The sequence below is a fragment of the Homo sapiens genome, chromosome 2 (genome assembly GCF_000001405.40).
Source record: "Homo sapiens chromosome 2, GRCh38.p14 Primary Assembly".
NCBI lineage: Eukaryota > Metazoa > Chordata > Mammalia > Primates > Hominidae > Homo > Homo sapiens.
The window spans coordinates 178,067,464-178,087,046 of record NC_000002.12 but is presented as its reverse complement, the minus strand read 5'-3'; the positions used below and the strand labels follow the sequence as shown (position 1 = coordinate 178,087,046).

Genomic DNA, 19,583 nt, shown 5'->3' with positions numbered 1-19,583 from the left:
CTTTATCCAGCCATCCATTGGTGGAGGTTGACCATATCTTTGCTACTGTTAATAGTGCTGTGATAAACATACAGATGCAGGTTTCTTCTTGTTACAATTATTTCTTTTCCTTTGGGTAGATACCCAGTAGTGGGATTGCTCATTTTAAAGTTGAGAAAACTGAGGCCCAGAAACTTCTCCAAAGTCAAACAGTTAGTGTTAGTCCTCAAAACTGGGACTAGAACATGGGTCCTGGTTTCACAAAATCTGATTTTCCTACTTTTATGTGGGGTTCTGGCCAGATTCATACACTTTTAACGACTGTTGTCTATCCAACCACTTCCTCACATTTAACTTTTTGTCCTTCTATAAAAACTGCAACAATCATATAAAATAAAAATTTTTAAATGGAATCTTTCTGTTTTAATCTTACCAAGAGATTTAGTTTTGGTTTGTTTTCCTTTTTTGATAAGTATTTGGAATAGTATTATGTGAAAATCATGGCTCTATAAATTGCTGTTTGATCATAAAAATAGGGTGGTCATTTTAAATCATGTATGCCCATCTCTACCATAGATAAGAATGTGGTCTGTTACAGTGGATTACCATTCATTAGTTTATTCAATAAATATTTATTTATTGTGCATTATGGTATCTGGTCTCTAATGATGGCACCTGATAAACCATGCTTCCAGCTATTCATGCCTTTGTGTAGAACTCTCTCATGCTGAATCCGGGTTGACTTTGATTACTTTAACCAATAGGATGTGATAGAAGTGATGTTATACTAGTTCAGATCCTAAGCATTAAGAAGACCTGGAAGCTTACACTTTTGCATTTTTTGGAAGACCTACACCACCATGTAGGAAGGTCGGCAGTCCTGCTGGAAACAGCGTGTGGAGAAACCTTATGCAGAGAGAGGCCTGAGACTATTGGAAGAGGGGAAAGGGGAAAGATTGATTCAGCCAGGAGATGGGGAGAGAGAATTTGAGTGATCAGTGGTTCCAGAGTCCCAGCTGAGCCCAGACAGAGTGATCCATCCAGTCCAGTCAAGTCTCCAGGTGACTTCAGCCCAAAGATTGTTTTTATTAAGTTACAGTCTTTTAAAAACCTAGGATAGTGGTACTTTTGATAGCACAACTGTCTCCGAAAATCTGTTTGATTTTTGTTCTTTTTGTCAATCGTACTTTGTGCTTGTCAGGCTTTCATAGAGTCACATTCTTTTTACTGAGCCATTTCTTTGCCCCGGTACTGAGTTTTAATTGGCCTTTGTTGCAAGACTATTTTTAATTTCATCTGAAATTGAGATGAGAAATAGTTGCAGATTTCAGGTGGGCAACTTCTAGGATCTCTGGATTCTCTATTTTCCCTTGAATCCCTGCTTATAAATAGGCCAGTTCTTTTTCTGAGTTCCCTTCTTGTACAGTCTTGTTAAACACAGCTAGTAATGACCAAATACACTAGTAACATTTTGTTCTTCAGTTTCTTCACCTGAAGCTGTATATTCTTTAGGTTTATTTTTTTTTTTATTTCAACTATTGTTTTAGGTACATAGGGTACATGTGCAGATTTGTTACATGGGAATATTGTTTGATGCTCAGGTTTGGAGTATGGATGCCATCACCCAAGTAGTGAGCATAGTATCTGATAGGTAGTTTTTAAAACACCCCCCTCCACAGTGTCTTTTGTTCCCATATTTATATCCATGTTAATTAGATTTTTTACCTGTTTAAGGTATTGTAGGTGACAGTTTCACCAAATATTTTATCCCTGTATAACATAGGTCACCATTTTTCCAGCTCCTGATAATAGTTTCCATGCCATTCTCTGTCAGGTATTGAATATAGGGCCATATATTTTGGTGATAGCAGCACCTCACGTCTAGGTACCAATTTCTGTATGTTGACTTGCTATAGTAACAAAATCTCAGGGACCTGCAACAACAAAACATTTATTAATATTTCTCATTCACATGGCATATAGACTGTGGTTGGATGTGGTTTTGCTCCAAGTATCTTCTCATTCTAGAACCCAGGTTAAAGAAGTACCTATATGGACATTCCCACTTGTGTGGCATAAGGAAAGTCCAAGAGCCATGGAAGAAGCTCCTGATGTTTCATGAAGCTTCTGCTTAGATGTGGCATACATAATGGGTGCTCACATTCCACTGATCAAAACTTATGTTAAGTAGGCAAGGCCAATGTCAATTAAATGAGAAGGTATACTTTCCCTGAAGGAGGAATGCAAGTCACATGACAATAGTTTGTCATTCTTTTAGAGGGAAGAGGGTAGTAAATAATTGCAAAAAAAAAAAAAAGCTGTCTACCATAAACATGTATACGCATTTCTTTTTGCTTGTATTTTCACTTCATACAATCTTTCTGTTGAACCCAGTCTCATTGCTCTTTGACTTACCTGTTAACCCGACCAGTCATGCCCTATGCATCAACTTCACTTTATTCTTTTTTCTTGTTTGTATAGTTGCTTGCAGCCTGCCTGCTCCCATGTCAGACTTGCTCATGTCTGCATTCTGGCTTGCGAAACCATCAGCATTTCTTACTCTCCGACTACTTCTCCAGTTCTGATATGTGAGCAACAAACCAAGCCTTTGTAAAATCCAAGTTTAGATTGACTATGGGCTAGTGATCAAATTATTGTGCAATTTTACTTGAAGCATGAAGAAATTAGATAACTGAGATTATTTGATAGCTAGGACTAGAAGATTCTATTCCCCAATTATATCCAAGAACCTCACTGAGCTACTCAAGGAGATAATTTGTCATTGAGGTTAAATTCTGATTTAGAAAAGAAAGTTATTTCTCTTGTAATTCTGGTTAGAATAAACATGGTCTTTTTACCTTGGAGTGTTAATTTTACTTGAAGATAAAAGTCCTCTTTGGATTTTTATACTTTTGAGGTTTTATTTATTCTCACATGGAGGGATAGCTATAATACACTATTGAGTAAAGAAAGCAAATTTCTGATGGATCTTGTAGAATGGCTCACTTTTCTATATAGTTTTTTTCTATACATACAAGAATATGTATATTTGTGTATATATGAACGTATCTATATAGCTATTGGCTATTGATACATACCACACTGATAAGTATGTGTTTCTTGGGAATGGAGATGGAAGACTTATTTTTTCTTTATATAATCTTACGTTTAAATTTTTACAAGCATATATTATCCTTTTCATAAAAGAAGAAAAACTAAAAGTATAGCTCAAAGTCACTAAAAAATTTTGTCAGATGCAAAAGCAAAATCTGTGAAACTGTTTTCTGTCACTAAATTTCATATTATTTTATGAAAATCCAGAAAGAGGAACATTTTCCTGCATAGGAAGTTATTAGGAAACTTATTTTGTATGTATTTGGGGAATGTGGTGTTATTAGTTGTACAGCCAATCAAAGGTATGAGGAACTACTTTAGCAGGAAAAGGTAATTCAGACACTTTCTGGTAGGGGTCTTTGGATCTATATGACTGCCCTCGACATGTGCTTTCTTGGCCAGTCTGTGGAAACCAACATAGCCAGTTCTTTGGAAAAACAAGTGTGTCATTTTTCTGAGCAGTACTTTAAAAAAATTTTTGTTTTTATTTTCTGGCTTCTCAAGTTGGTTCAATTTCCTAACACTTTTGTGCTCCTTCAAATATTTAGTTCTACTGGCTGGGCGAGGTGGCTCACGCCTGTGATCCCAGCACTTTGAGAGGCTGAGGTGGGTGGATCACTTGAGGTCAGGAGTCCAAGACCAGCCTGACCAACATGGTGAAACCCCGTTTCTATAAAAATACAAAAATTAGATGGGCATGGTGGCAGATGCCTGTAATCCCAGCTGCTTGGGAGGCTGAGGCAGGAGAATTGCTTGAACCCGGGAGGCAGAGGTTGCAGTGAGCTGAGATTGCGCCACTGCACTCCAGCCTAGGTGACAGAGCAAGACTCCATCTCAAAAAAAAAAAAAAAAAATTTTAGTTTTACTGAGTTCTGTTTTTCTATACAGTGATTTTTCAATTAGCCCTAACTAGCAGAAAGTATGTGAGAAATTAAAATTCTAAGGCCTACAACTGACTGAACAGACCATCTCTTGGCCAAGGGGATCAGAGTAACCTTGAAAACTAAGTTCTCAGCCATGATTGTGTGAGAGGTCAGATATGGCTTGTTACACTTTCTCCCTGGCTAACTCTCTCCTAAGAGTACAACAGAAACTAGTCCTTTCACTGATAACAACCAGTCACTTGATGCTGCCCCACCGACCATGGAGTGGTTCTGGCCAGTCCACCCAGAATGCACAGTGAGGGTTTTTGTGTCCTCTGCTTTACATTTGATGTCAGAGAGCAAAAACATCACCCTTGGATCATGCTAATGCTTCTGTTTTTTTGTACGTGGGCCCCACGAAGGGACATAAAGCTGAACTGTGCATGCACTTTGTTTCTTCTTTCATAAATATTCATGACTCCTCCTATAGCTGATTGAATATGTATGTTTGGCCACCCTGCTAAGCATAAATTCCTGTTCCCTTTGCCCTTCCCTCAAAGTGTCTGTTTCCAGCTTCTGACTGGAGACTATGCTTCCCAGCATGTCAGAATGGCCACCCTGCAGGCTGCAACACTTATGAGGGTTGAAATTTATAAACTGGCATTTTTTAGTTGACATATGGTTTTTAAAAAAGGTTTTACTATTAAAAAATGGTATACGTATTTTAAAATTGTATTTCTTTCAGGTGTATGGACTGGTGGCTAAATTAATGATAACAACAATAATAATAGAATGGCTAACATTTATTGAGAGTTTACTATGTGACCGAAACTGTTCTGTTTCTTTCTTTTATTTTCAATCCTGCTCCTTTTGTACAGATACTGTTCTAAGTGCTGTATCCATATTAACTCATTTAATACTCACAATTCTATTAATGATTCACATTTTGCAGATATAGAAACTGAGGCATCTTGCTCCACCATGGCTTGATACTAGTGGGAATATGCAAAAGGGAAATTGAGATCAACTTAATTAAAGGTGGTGATGGAGATGACATTGTGCCTGAAGTCCCCCACAATGGCCTTCACTATGACTGTGTGACAGATAGCACTGCTCCCACTTCAATTGGAAATCTAAATGAGAAAAGCCAACCTACGAAGTACTGGGTAGTCTCTGATACATATTTAAAGTATGAGTTCTATTGCAGAAATGCAAATGACTTCAACCTTGGTGTCCTTTTGTGAGGAAACCTTTGACAGTAAGTGTGGAAATGATAACTTTTAATAATTTTTAAAAAAATTACTTGTGCAAATGTTGAAAGAAAATCACCAGAATTGTTTGCAACTGAAGAAAGAAAAGACTGAGCTAGAAGTAATACAATGAAGTCACTACCACAAACAAACAAACAAAAAAGTGCTTAAAACTCCCTCCAACGTCAGTGTCAGAATATCCTTGGAGGGTTAAGCTCATTTAGTAGGGGAAAATTTGGTGAGGCCCTGTTTGAAGAGATGGGTGAAAGAATGCAGGCAAAGGCAGCCAGGCTGAGAAAGATGCCATTTTGGTCATTGTTAACAAATGACACTTTGTACTGTGCTCAAAAGAATATTTGATGAGAGACTGAAATTAACCAAATTCTTTACCTTATTATTGTAGTATAGCATGAATTGAATAATTTGCTCAATTTTTTTCTTTTTCTCTATATTTTCTTTTATAAACTGGTAAGACATTTAAATTGGTCTATTTCTTGGTGATAAAATAGCTTGTAGAAAAGTTTTCCTATAAACACAAGAGTCTCATTAAAAAGCAGGTTATGTGCCAAAAACGTGTATTTATACACAAGTGAGAAACTCTTTCAGAGGCTAAACTTCAGGAGGAATATCTAGCATCAGGTTCTGTCTTTATTAATTCTTCAGTGCACAAGGGTATATTCATTAGCTGTTTTTATAACACGTAGCTGTGATGTAATTAGTGTTTCCAGAATGATAACTAATTATATTAGTACTATTTCATATTACATTGCACATTAGTAAGGTTAATTTGGCAACAGATTCATGGTTTCTCAAAGTTCAAACTACCTTTAATTTTGATATATTTATTTTGGAAAGATAAATTCTGACATTAAAACATTATAAATGTTTTATGAATAACTTGTACAGTATATTTTTAAAAAATGCTTATTTGATACTAGAGCTGGTTGGCCTTGCTCTAGTCTGTCATTTATCATGATCACTCAAAAAATAAAATAAATAATTGAGGGTTGGCATGTTTTTTTTAATTTATTAGTTGCTGTGGAAGTTACTCTTGGGAGTAATATTTCATCTTTGAATCAAGCCATAAATAACAGATGAGACTAATGGAAACTGTCTTTTAAATGATAAGGCATTTATATTCTAATTTTATAAAATTTTTCCTATAAGAAATGTAAAACAGTGCAGTGCTGGAATGATTAATTATTTTTGATTTAGTGAATAAAGGCATGGCAATTAAGAAGAAAGGCATCAGTGCTTAATATTTATTTCTACCCTTCTTCTTCTTCTATATAACTTCCCTGAATTCAAACCTAAATTAAAATCTGTTGTTGGACACATAGACCAATGGAACAGAATAGAGAACTCAGAAATAAGACTGCACACCTACAACCATCTGATCTTTGACAAACCTGACAAAAACAAGCAATGGGGAAAGGATTCCCTATTTAATAAATGATGCTGGGAGAACTGGCTGGCCATATGCAGAAAATTGAAACTGAACCCCTTCCTTACATCTTATACAAAAATTAACCCAAGATGTTTTAAAGACTTAAATGTAAAACCCAAAACCATAAAAACCCTAGAAGAAAATCTAAGCAATACCATTCAAGACATAGGCACTGTGGCAAAGATTTCATGACAAAAACACCAAAAGCAATCACAACAAATGCAAAAATTGACAAATGGGATCTAATTAAGCTAAAGAGCTTCTGCACAACAAAAGAAACTATCACCAGAGTGAACAGACAACCTACAGAATGGAAGAAAATTTTTGCAATCTATCCATCTGACAAAGGTCTAATATCCAGAGTCTACAAGGAACTTAAAGAAATTTACAAGAAAAAAGCAACCCCATTAAAAAATGGACAAAGGACATGAACAGACACTTCTCAAAAGAAGACATTCATGTGCCCAACAAACATATGAAAAATGTTAAACATCACTGACCATTAGAGAAATGCAAATGAAAACCACAATGAGATACCATCTTATGCCAGTCAGAATTGTTTCTTGGCAATTATTAAAAAGCCAAGAAACAACATATGCTAGCGAGTTTGTGGAGAAAAAGGCATGCTTTTACACTGTTGGTGGGAACGTAAATTAGTTTAACCTTTGTGGAAGACAGTGTGACTATTCCTCAAAGATCTAGAACCAGAAATAGCATTTGACCCAGTAATTCCATTACTGGGTATATACTCAAAGGAATATAAATCATTCTGTTACAAAGATACATGTACGTGTATGTTCATTGCAGCACTATTCACAATAGTAAAGAAATGGAATCAATCCAAATGCCTATCAATGATAGACTGGATAAAGAAAATTTGATGATATGCACCATGAAATACTATGCAGCCATGAAAAGGAACAAGATCATGTACTTTGCAGAGACATCAATGGAGCTGGAAGCCATTATCCTCAGCAAACTAACGCAGGAATAGAAAACCAAACCCACATGTTCTCACTTACAAGTGGGAGCTGAACAATGAGAACACATGGACATGGGGAGGTGGGGAACAACATACACTAGGGCCCATCAAGGGGACGGGGGAGGGAGAGCAGCCCGAAAAATAGCTAATGCATGCTGGGCTTAATACCTAGGTGATGTGTTGATCTGTGCAGCACACTTTTACCTAGGTAACAAACCCGCACACCCTGCACATGTGCCCCAGAACTTAAAAGTTGAAGAAAAAAAGAATCTGTTGTTGAATTTTTCCCTCCAGCTTTTTCCTCCTTTTGTTCTATTGTTAGTAGGTCTATACTCTCAATCTTAATACTAGTTATGGATTGCTATTGAATATAAAGAATATCATATTGCATTTAAGGATACTTCTGATTTTTAGAAAATAGAATTCCTTGTCTGTCAGACTTCATCAGTGGTATCTTGTATTGTCAGTTGTTCTTTAATGTAAATGTTCTACCTCCCTAGCTATACTGTACATGTTCCTTGAGGAAAGACATGACTCTTAGACTATTTTATATTGTCAATGTCTTAACTCAACAATCTTGATTATTTAAGATATTTTAGCAAAGTTACGTTTATGAAGATTCAAGGAATATTTTAAATATTGAATTTATCCATATTCTACTAAGTTCGAATCTCCAAATATATAGAAAATATTTTCAATAATGAAAACCAACCAACTTTTTTATCAACAAGTTATTCTTCAGCAAGATATTTTGATTATTGCTGATTTTTCTGGTGAAAAATACTCTTGATTTTAAGATGAAGAAAATATGTAAAACATTTATGGCATGACATTGAAGCTCATTTTTCTGTAACTTTATGGGTCATTATCGTTCACCAAGATATCTTTGAAATTTTAAAGACTTACCTTCTAGATACTTATTAGTCTTTAATACAACTATAGGTGGGCTTCTGGCTCAGAGTGCTTTCAATTTCTAAATTGATAGAAGAAGAGATAAAAGACTAGTAAAGTGTGTTTTAATGTTAAATGTTTTTTAAATGGAGAATTAAATGCATCGTGTTGGGTTGAGTAAACACCAAGTGTTCTATGGTTTATAGCAGGTAGATGACCAAATGTGTGGAAGCAGGACACATAGGACACAGCACAGCTTTTTACTGGGGAAGCAGGAAACATAATATGTGTGACATTTGAAATAGGTGTTAATGGAAAAAAGAAGTTTGAGAGTCAGGGAAGGGGAGAAGAGCATTTCAAGTAGAAGCCCAGAAGAGAGAAGGGGAGAATGCTTGGAGAGTTGTGGCAGGAGGTGAGAAGAGAGATGGAAAATAAAGGTGCAATGAAGAAAGCTCTTGCATTCGTTTCCTAGGGCTGCTGTAACACATTACCACAAACATGGTGACTTGAAACAACATACATTTATTCTCTGACAGTTCTGGAGGCCAGAACTCCAAAATCAAGGCATTCAGAAGATTGATTTTTTTTTTTTTCCTAAGAGCATCTGTTTCATGCCTCTCTTCTAGAATGAGGTGGCCACCAGTAATCCTGGATATTCCTTGGCTTGTAGACCCATCACTCCATCTGTACCTCAGTCTTCATACTACCTTCTCCTCTGTGTGTCTCTGTGTCTTCTCTTTTGTACATATATTATAAGGAAAGTGTCACTTGATTTAGAACCCACCCTAAATCCAGGATAATCTTATCTTGAGATCTTTAATTACATCTGCAAAGACCCTCTTCCCAGTAAGGTGACATTCACAGATTCTGGTGGACATAGCTTTTGTGGAGCTGCAGTTTGACCCATTACTTGCCTTTTGACAAGGCCTTAATGTGCCATTTTTACGTTTGTTATGTGGAAGGTGATACTGGTTGGTAGAGAATGGACAGATAATGAAGGCTTGAATTAAGGAAAGCAGGCTTGGAGAAGGCAGCTGGATTTAAACAGAAATTTCTGCAGTAAAATATACTGGATTGAGTGATTTCATGTGGGTGGGAGTGAGAGTGATCTTGGAGATGAGAAATTTGAGGTGCCTGTGAAACATTTAGGAGCAAATATTTTGCAGTAGTTAGAAATGGGGCTTTGGCATGATCATGCCACTGCACTTATCTGGGCAGCAGAGTGAGACTCTGTCTCAAAAAAAAAAAAAAAAAAAAAAAGAAAGAAAGAAAAGAAAAGAAATGGGGCTCTGAGGTTCAGGAGAGAGTTTGTTTGGTGAATTGTTGGATGAGTGGCTCCCAGTGAACCACACCTGTGAGTATTCATGTCCTTGTCCCTCTCTCAACTGATGTGCTTGGCTATATAATTGGCTTTGACCAATGGGGCATTAACAACTATTATATAGGCTTGATAGGCTCTTGCATATTGGGCTTACCCTCTTGCAACACTCCCTCTTGAAACCCAGATGCCATATTGTAAGGAAGCAGGTTATCCTGCTGGAGACAGAAGCCACGTAAAGAGGAACTGGAAAATTAGATACAATGTGGAAAGAGGCCTCCTGGAGAAAAACTGAGCAGCCTCAGCCACAAGTCAGCACTGAGGCCCTAGATATGTATGAGAGGCCTTACTGGACCATCCAGCACATCCCAGCTGCCAGTTGAATGCAGCCACATGAGTGACTTCAGCCAATACCAAGTGAAAGAGAAGAACCACTAGTTAACCTACAGAATTGTGAGAAGTAGGAAAATTGTTGTTTTAAGTAACTAAGTTTTCAGCCTCCCTTTACATATTTGATGATGCTCAGTGGTCACACAATAAAAGTCAGTAATGTCTGTTTTAGGAGACGAATAATTAGGAGGCAAACTTAGGAGACAGAAATTCATTGGGCTTTAAGAGGTTAATACCAAATTGTGAGATGTTGCTAAGGGTGGGATGGAACTATGAGATCAGAGGTTGGCCTGGCAGGTGACTTTGGAGGAGTTATGTGTCCACTCTAGATTTCAATGTAACCATGAGCAAAATGTGGAAAGCATAGTACTAGAAGAACTATAAGCTTCCATCCAGTACTAAAATGTAATGGGATAACAAAAGTTATCTTGCCTGCCACCCAATGTTTTGCACATTGAAAGTACTCAATAAATGCTGATTGGCCATGATAAAGAAATAAATACTTATATTAAAAAGGAACTCCTCATTCTTGAAAAATACAAATAGGAAGTCTCCTTTATCTTCTTTAATGAGAGGCTACTTGGACAATCTTTACAGACTGATAGAGATGGGAAAGGGTAGATGGAGAAGGAGCCTGCAGAGCCTCTTCCTTGCTCTGAGTGATCTATCTTCACAGTATCATGCCTTTTCACGTGTGATAGTGCCCTGGGGGATTCTATGGACTGCACAGTATCTTCACAATATCACACCTTTTCTGGTATGATAGTTTGTGCCTGAGGGGGCTTTATAGACTGCAAATGTTGTCATGGAGTGTATTATAGATAGTTTCGATGGAATTAGCAGATAAGCAGAAGAGGTCAGAATTACACAGAAAATTATATGGAGCTATATTTCCTAAAGGGAAATATATTTTTATTTTCTTTACCAAAGGAACCCCTTCAAGGTTCCATATTGGCCATTCTTTCCTAGTGGGACCTCTTCCATTATTTCCTAAGGGGACCTCTTCAAGTTTCCATATAGGGCCAAGAATCATCCTTTCACCCTTTCAGATCTTATACAGATCCTGCTTTGTCCCCTCCTACTCTTTGCCCAGTGAGGATGAGGTATCAACAGGCTTCAATACCTTCTAGCTTGTATCTGGTTGCTGATAGAAGGGAGGGAAAAGAATAAGTTCCAGCTATTATTAATATTTACTCCTAATATCCCTCCTTTGAGGTTAGCTTGAGCTGTTGATGTCTTTTTTTTTTTTTTTTTTTTTTTTGAGACAGAGTCTCACTCTGTTGCCCAGGCTGGAGTGCAGTGGTGCGATCTCAGCTCACTGCAACCTCTGCTTCCCAGGTTCAAGGGATTCTCCTGCTTCAGCCTCCTGAGTAGCTGGGATTACAGGTGCATGCCACCATTCCAGGCTAATTTTTGTATTTTTAGTAGAGATGGGGTTTCGCCATATTGGGCAGGCTGGTCTCGATTCTTGACCCCAAGTGATCTGCCTGCCTCATCCTCCCAAAGTGCTGGGATGACAGGCATGAGCCACCATGCTTGGCCTGTTGATGCCTTTTGATGGGCTGTCATTGCTCCCCTCAAGGCAGAAGTCACTATCCAATCTTCTTTCCTTCCAAGTCCTAGTAACTTTTTCCTCCTCTTCCCCTCATGTCTAGGGGTGGTAACTTCTCTACCGCTATGAGTCCCAGGTTTCTTCACTGTTTCTGTCATTTACCTATATTCCACCTTTGTAATTTGTTCCTTTGTAAATTAACCTTCTTGGAATTTAATTTGAGTGTGCTCTGTTTCCTGTTGGGACTATGACTAATACACATACCATTCTGCAGATTGAGAGTGAAGATAAATGGCAATGTGGCCACACCAACACACATCTTATTATCAGCCCTCCATTACAGCCCTCTGGACTATCTTATGTGTGCTTTCTGTCACTTTCTCATTTTCTTCCCCAACCATTAACTCCTTTAGTGACCTCACACACCAAGCAGGGAACATGGCTACAGCCGATTCAAAACGCAGCTCGAAATGTTGCATTCAGTTTTTCGGATTTCTCTTCTATTGCTTTCCCCATCCTTCCCAGTATTCTTCTCCACTCTCACTTCTCTTGGTGCTGTAGACGGAGATCTTTAGTCAAAAGCACAGCTTTTGTCTTGGTCTTCTTTTGTCCCCAGAGCCTGGAACATGATAAATGCCAAACAACTGCTTGTATAATGAATACATGGAAGATGGAATTAAGGAAGTGTCTTTATTAAACTTTCTGTTTCTAGGAAGCCCAGGGTTGGTCTACTTCTCTCACTTCCCTGAGAAGCTCATTGCTTCATTTTCATCAGATCTCTACTCAGTGCTTTTCTTGTCTCCGTGCACAACACTGCTGCTGTATTATCACCAGTCTCAGGGTAGTAAATGTTTTTTGTTCTTATCTTGTAACAGCTTTATTGAAATATAACTTACATACCATACGATTCATTCAATTAAATGTACAATTCAATGAATTTCAGCATATTCAGATTGTGCAACTATCACCACAATCAATTTAGAACATTTTTATTACCCCCCACACCCCCCAAAAAACTCATACACATTAGCGTCACCCACTTCCTCTCCATCTAGAAAGTAATCTACTTTCTGTCTGTATGGATTTGCCTATTCTGGACATTTCTTACAAATGAAATTTTACACTATGTGGTCATTTGTGAGTGGCTTCTTTCATTTTGCATGATGTTTTTAAGCTTCATTCGAGTACTAGCACGTGTCAGTGCTTTATTCCATTTTATGATTGAATAATATTCCATTGTATGGAGTTATCACATTTTATTTGTCTGTTCCTCAGCTGATGGACATTTGGATTATTTCCACTGCATATCCGTAAATGTTTAACAATTAGCAGTCCATTAAAAAAAAAAAAACCCTGACACATAACATTTGCTGATTTCCATGGTGTAAACATTCCCGTTGTGACTGATTGCAAACTCCATGATGTGACTGAATACAGAATTGGAAAGAGATTTTAAAATAGGCACTTGTGAGTCCTTACAAGCCAGTTTCAACATATCACTAACCATCTTTACTGATAGATCACTCAAGTGACCAGAGACATAGCTACATTCAGTAAAGTTTCCATACATCGTCACCTTAGAATAATAATAATAACAAAAGTAATACAACAGCTAACATTTACTGAGCACTTTTTATGTGCCAGGCACTATGCTAAACGTTGTTTTTTTTCTTTTTAAATCTTGATCACCACTCACCTTCTTGGAAACCAGCAGCTCCAAATTACCAGGATTCTATGCTTGGTTTACTGTCTCCTAGCTGGTCTCCCTGCTGTTAATTAAATACTCCAGACTCTTCAGCACTTACTTCCTCTACCTGGTAAACTCTTTTTCTGTACTGTGTTTTACACCCTTTCTCTGTGTAATCTGTCTCTGCCCCAGGTACATGAATTTGGTTAAAGTCATGAATTGCTCACATCGGAAACTTTATTTGCTATTTTCGGGGAAATGCCATTCCATTAATATTTACTGAGCACCCACAAGGCGCTGGGCAGTGTTAGTGAGCAAGTCCCAGGAATCCTGGGAACCAACAATCCACAGTCACATCCCAGAAAAATAACCCTGCCTGTCTCTGAGGGTGAACGACACTCTCGATTCCTCGGAGTCCGCTTCTGTGTTCAGATCCCTGCAAAACATCAACACTTGTATCTCGGACTCCCACTGGGCTCCCGCTGGGCCTCCTCGAAACGCTAACGGATTAAGGGGCGCGGTGAGTAGGGAGGGTTGGGGAGGTAAGGGAGCAAGAAGCGGGGAAGGAACAAGGTGCGTTTCCCTCTTCTAATCGTGTTCCAATCAGGAGTCCTGTACCCAGGCGCCGATTCCGGCCGTCCAGAGACTCTTCCAGGAACCGCCTGGCAGCCTGGGCCGTGGACTTTGGCTGGTCTGGCGTCCGCGGCTCCCTCCTCTTCTCTCCTCCCTCCAGGCTCCGTGCCTCACTCAGGGGCGTGTCCTGCCCTACCTCCCTGTCACAGCGGTCCACTCATCCGGTTACAGCAGCAGTTCCAGCAGCAGCGGCGGCAGCCAGAACAGGAGCAGCGATAGCTCGGGTTTCCGGAACAGGAGCCGGGGCAGCGGCGGCAGCTCAGTGCTGGGCACCTGTGCGGAGCAGGAGTAGCAGGACCACGGGGTGGGGTCGGCGCCAGCCACTCTGAGCCAGAGAAGGAAGGGGCATCTCCCAGATTCCACTGCTGGGAATAATCTCCAGGGGAGGTGGCGCTGAACTGGGAATACTGGTGGGGGTGAACATGTGCAGGAACAGCTAGAGGCCTCGGGGCAGGAAAACATTTGGTTCACGTGTAAACAGGCAAGGAAAGCTGTCTGGGACCATGGCAGCCTCCCGCCTGGACTTTGGGGAGGTGGAAACTTTCCTGGACAGGCACCCAGAGTTGTTTGAAGATTACTTGATGCGGAAGGGGAAGCAGGAGATGGTTGAAAAGTGGCTGCAGAGGCACAGTCAGGGTCAGGGGGCTTTAGGTCCAAGGCCCTCTTTGGCTGGTACCAGCAGCTTGGCTCACAGCACCTGCAGAGGTGGCAGCAGCGTTGGTGGTGGCACTGGACCAAATGGCTCTGCCCACAGCCAGCCCCTTCCCGGTGGCGGGGACTGTGGTGGGGTTCCCTTGAGTCCCAGCTGGGCCGGTGGCAGCAGGGGCGATGGGAACCTGCAGCGGAGAGCTTCTCAGAAAGAGCTAAGGAAGAGTTTTGCCCGCTCCAAGGCCATCCACGTGAACAGGACCTACGATGAACAGGTGACCTCCCGGGCTCAGGAACCCCTGAGTAGTGTACGACGGAGGGCACTTCTCCGGAAGGCAAGCTCCCTGCCCCCCACCACAGCCCATATTCTCAGTGCGCTGCTGGAATCGAGAGTGAATCTGCCTCGGTATCCCCCTACAGCCATCGACTACAAGTGCCATCTGAAAAAGCATAATGAGCGTCAGTTCTTTCTGGAATTGGTCAAAGATATCTCCAATGACCTTGACCTCACCAGCCTGAGCTACAAGATTCTCATCTTTGTCTGCCTTATGGTGGATGCTGACCGCTGCTCTCTTTTCCTGGTGGAAGGGGCAGCTGCTGGCAAGAAGACCTTGGTCTCCAAATTCTTTGATGTGCATGCAGGAACACCTCTGCTGCCTTGCAGCAGCACAGAGAACTCAAATGAGGTGCAGGTCCCCTGGGGCAAAGGTATCATTGGCTATGTCGGGGAGCATGGAGAAACGGTCAACATTCCTGATGCCTACCAGGTAGGACTTTGCATTGTCCCCTTCTCCCAGAGCCCCATTGGCTTGGGAGATAAGCCTTCGGTTATCATCTGGCATCCAGGAACACATTAATTTAGGCTCTTTACAATACAAATTTTGCTATTTAAATTCCCGAGTTTAGACTAGTTAGAATGTTACTACGGCATCTTTGATGTGTTGGTCCTTTCTTAACACCCAATGGCTTGTGGGAAGTTAATATATCACCCAATAACACCACGTATTTCTCTGTCAAGACACTTTGTCTTTAACACTGACACTTTGGCTGGTCTGGCATCCACAGCTCCCTCCTCCTCTCTTTAATATGTCAATGTGTGGTTTTAGTATGTGTTTGTGAGTTGCTAGAAAAAGATGTGTGCTCCAGAATTCCGGTGTTAAGATGAGCATTTTGGTGTCTTTGGTGTCTTTTGGGGACCATAATGCTTCATTCTCTAAGTCAATATTGGAAAGAGAACAAAGTGCTTAACTACTTCCCTGTTCCCTTCTCTAGATTAGAGTTGCACAAGTGGTAAGCTAGGGAAAAGAGGAAAAGAAGAGGAATGTCAGGGGAAAAATGGTCCTGTGACTCACTTGTGCCTTCTTAGTATCGTAACTGTTTCTGTTATTAAGATTAGAAAGATTGGACAGATAGAGGGGCTAGTTATCTTTAGGCTCAAATATAGCATTATCTGTAGTCAGCTTTGATAGGACTGAGCAAGTAGGTTTTTAATTTATGAAACAAACAACAAATATTGATAATTTTTTAGCAACTCCAAAGCCATCAGCAGGGTAAACATGTTAGTTTCAAGTGGAAAAGGAAACCCAACATGCTCTCATCTGGGTTTTCTGAGCCTTTCATTTTCACAGCATTTTGAACTTGATATTAGATGCTGGATCTGAAACCAGTCCATTCTAATTTCTTCAGTACTTATTCACTGAATATGATGAGACTTGATGTTATTTTCTATGAGACTTCTTCAGGGTTCATAAGAATTAAAAATTCTCATCCTTGGTTAGGAAAGTTTTATAGTCATCTGGTAAGTACTTCTTCCAGTGGTCTCAGGGAGCTACATGTTTCTCTAGAGTTTAGTTGCTGTTGCTGAGAATAGCAAAAAGAGTGGGAAGGACACTAAAGGTAAAATTTTATCTATTTCATCTGAAAGTTGACAATTTTACATAGAAAATTGACTAGCTTGTACTAAAGCCAAGTTTCATATTTTTGTGAGATATCTGCCAACCTAACACTTTAATATTAAAGGATGTTTCTCAAAATACCATTTTTGTTAACTTTTTATTATAGACTAAGTGCATTATTCATTGTATCTTTCTTGGAAACTTTAAAAGGTGTAGGTGAAGCAACAATGAGTGGTTTTCAACAAGTGTTTATTCCTCTACAATCCTAGAAAGCTATGAGAAGAAATATAAGCATTTAATAATTCATATGTTGAAGATTCTATAAAAATTTTGTCACAAATTATTATTTCTAGAGAAATAAAACAATCACACATTTTCTTCTTTCCAATTTTTTTTTCCCACATCCTTTTTGTATGCTTGGGCTAAAGAAAAATCCCTTCCTAGTTCAATGATACTTATTCCAGCCTAGGGTTGCAGCCTTTTCTCTTTATTGCCCTTACTTTTGAACTTCATCCCCAATTGATTTTCTCCCATTTCTATAGCTTTTATTTCTTACCGTCCTCTTTCAGGCCCTAACCTTTATTTCATACTGTCCTTTCTTTAAGAGCATAATTCTTAGCCTCTTCAACAGTTAACTTGTCTTGCTGCTGTCTAGAATTGTGGCTGTAGGTGTCATCACAGGCAGGGGAAAGCAGGTTTTCAGCAGCTGATGCTTCCTGTGGGCTCTACCCTTACTCTGCAGAGTGTAAAGCAAAGTTGCCTTTTAATATTTTTGGAAGCTGACATTGGGAAAGAGGAGTTTTTTTTTTTCCCTTTTCCCCCCAGAGTAGTAATGATGGCCACAAAAGGGGACTGGGTTGTTGGGAGGACTGGCAAAAGGCAGGTAGGGGAAACGTGCTGTATGGGTTGGGAATTTACCCTTGGTTTACCTTGTTTTCATTTGGTTAGAAAGTTTCTCTTTTCTTTTTCCATTGGCTTCTTTTATGTATCTCTGTATTTTTAACTTGGTGTAGTTTTCTTCATTTTACTTATGCTACTCTTCTTTGATAAAGCTACTTTTTTTTCTTTATTATGGGACGCTACAGTCACCAATGGTGTGACCTTGGAGAATTTCTTAATCTCTCACAGCCTCAATTTCCTCACCCATAAAATGGGGACAATAATACCTACCTAGCAAAGATTATTTTTGTTTATCTCAATAAAATGAGATATTGTGTCAAAGCCCCTAAAATAATATCTGGTACATTGCAATTACCCAGGAAATGGTTACAGTTTATGAAGATAATGATGATACCTAGTTTGCTGATATTCTTTTTCTTTCTGTTTACCTTATTTTATATTGTTTTTCTCCTTATCTGGAACTGAGATGTGAAGTCAGCACATTTTGACCAGCCTAATCTTTTCCATGCTCCACCCTTAAATTAAGTATTTTGAAACCAGGTTTACATTCAAGGAACATGAAAATATCTATCCTTCCATTCTCTACTTAAAATGTCCCTAAATGTGGTTTGGTAACACTATATCCTAGCCTATCAAAAGTTCTATACTTTGTTCCTGTTAGTAAGACATGCAGTATAAACTTTTTATAGGGTTGTTGTAGGGAAGGATGTTGCATCCTTCCCCAGTTCTAGCATTTTCCTCCATCCTTTGCATTTCCTGGTGTTACAGATTTCTCTTAATGAAAACCGACAACCTTCCAAATACATGTTCTTTTGTGATGATGTTTTAATTTGTACCATATATGCAAGCATCTTGAAGTTTCTATGTAAATATGTAACCATCCTTCCTGATTCTTTGTTAACTACTATATTTTTAAGGTGTTTCTTGCTCAGCTTCAGACAGTGTATTTTTTCTTCAGGAGGTAAGGTTTTTTTTTTATCACACAGAATTTCCAAATTTAATCATTTAATAATTATATTGATGATACTCTTGGGGGTTCCTAATATGGGCAAGAGAAAGGCATTGAAGAGACAAAATTATGATGATAAGCGTGGCATTCTGGAGTCAAGGGTAGAATATTTAATGAAATGCTAAAATTGAATAGAAGTTCTGACAGCCCAAAACCCCTCAGTTTATTTCATTATTTTGCATTACTTTCCTCAATTAGTCCTAAAAGACAGACTTGAAATTAGGAAAAAAATAAATCGTAAATGGAAAAAAAAAAAACATTCATTTTTAGGTATCCAGTCCAGATCATAGTGACTGCAGTATACCTTTCCCCAGATAGTTATAAGTTATTTAACAGTCCACTTTAATATAGTAATGAAAAAATTGCCCTCAAGAGGTTGAAAATAAGAGCATTCAAGTAACAGGTGTTCTCTGAGATTATTCTAAGCATTCAGAATATAGCACTTTAAACATTCATAAAAATCGTGAGGTGAATTTTTGTCAGTGTTGATAATGATAATACAGGTGTTTGATGGGCTTGGGTGTGAAAAGCAGCAGGATGTTTTGTTAGATGAACTGAGAGCAGGAAAGGGGATGACGCTGAAGGGTTACAGGTGCGCCTGCCTTTCAGAAGGCCTGATCTGTTTACACAACAGCTTCATTTATTCATTAGTTCCAACAAACATGCACAGAAAGAGCCCATTATCCCCAAGGCCTTGGGTAGAGGGCCTATCGGTGTACAAAGGGCAGGATATGCTTCTGCTCTCCAAGGGTGTACAGTAGACAGCCATGTACTGTCCACAAAAAACTAGTACCAAGCTGTACAAACTAAATGATGTTAGTCTTGGACAAGTATGGAGTCACTTTGTGACTGGGCTCATAATGAAAGACTTCATGGAGGAGGCACCATTCCAGCTATAAATAGGATTAGATTTTCCAGTTAGAGATAGTTGTGGGGTAGGGAGAAGTGATTCCAAGTCCAACAAAATAGCTTTAGCAGAGACACAGTGATGACCAAGCATAAAATATGTATAAGGGAGAGTGAGT

The 19,583-nt window shown here is 39.1% G+C and overlaps 1 protein-coding gene across 2 annotated transcripts in view; it reads left to right on the top strand.

The window, feature by feature from the left end:
- The window catches only part of PDE11A (phosphodiesterase 11A), a 485,096-nt gene that overhangs the window by 21,293 nt on the left and 444,220 nt on the right, over positions 1-19,583 (top strand). The window contains exon 1 of one of the 2 annotated variants that reach the window (NM_016953.4): positions 14,270-15,521. The exons of the other annotated variant lie outside the window; for it this stretch is intronic. Coding sequence (NP_058649.3) covers positions 14,610-15,521 — 912 coding nt within the window. The 5' untranslated portion in view covers positions 14,270-14,609. Of the gene's footprint in view, positions 1-14,269; positions 15,522-19,583 lie in introns of those variants that run through there. 2 annotated transcript variants of the gene reach the window in all.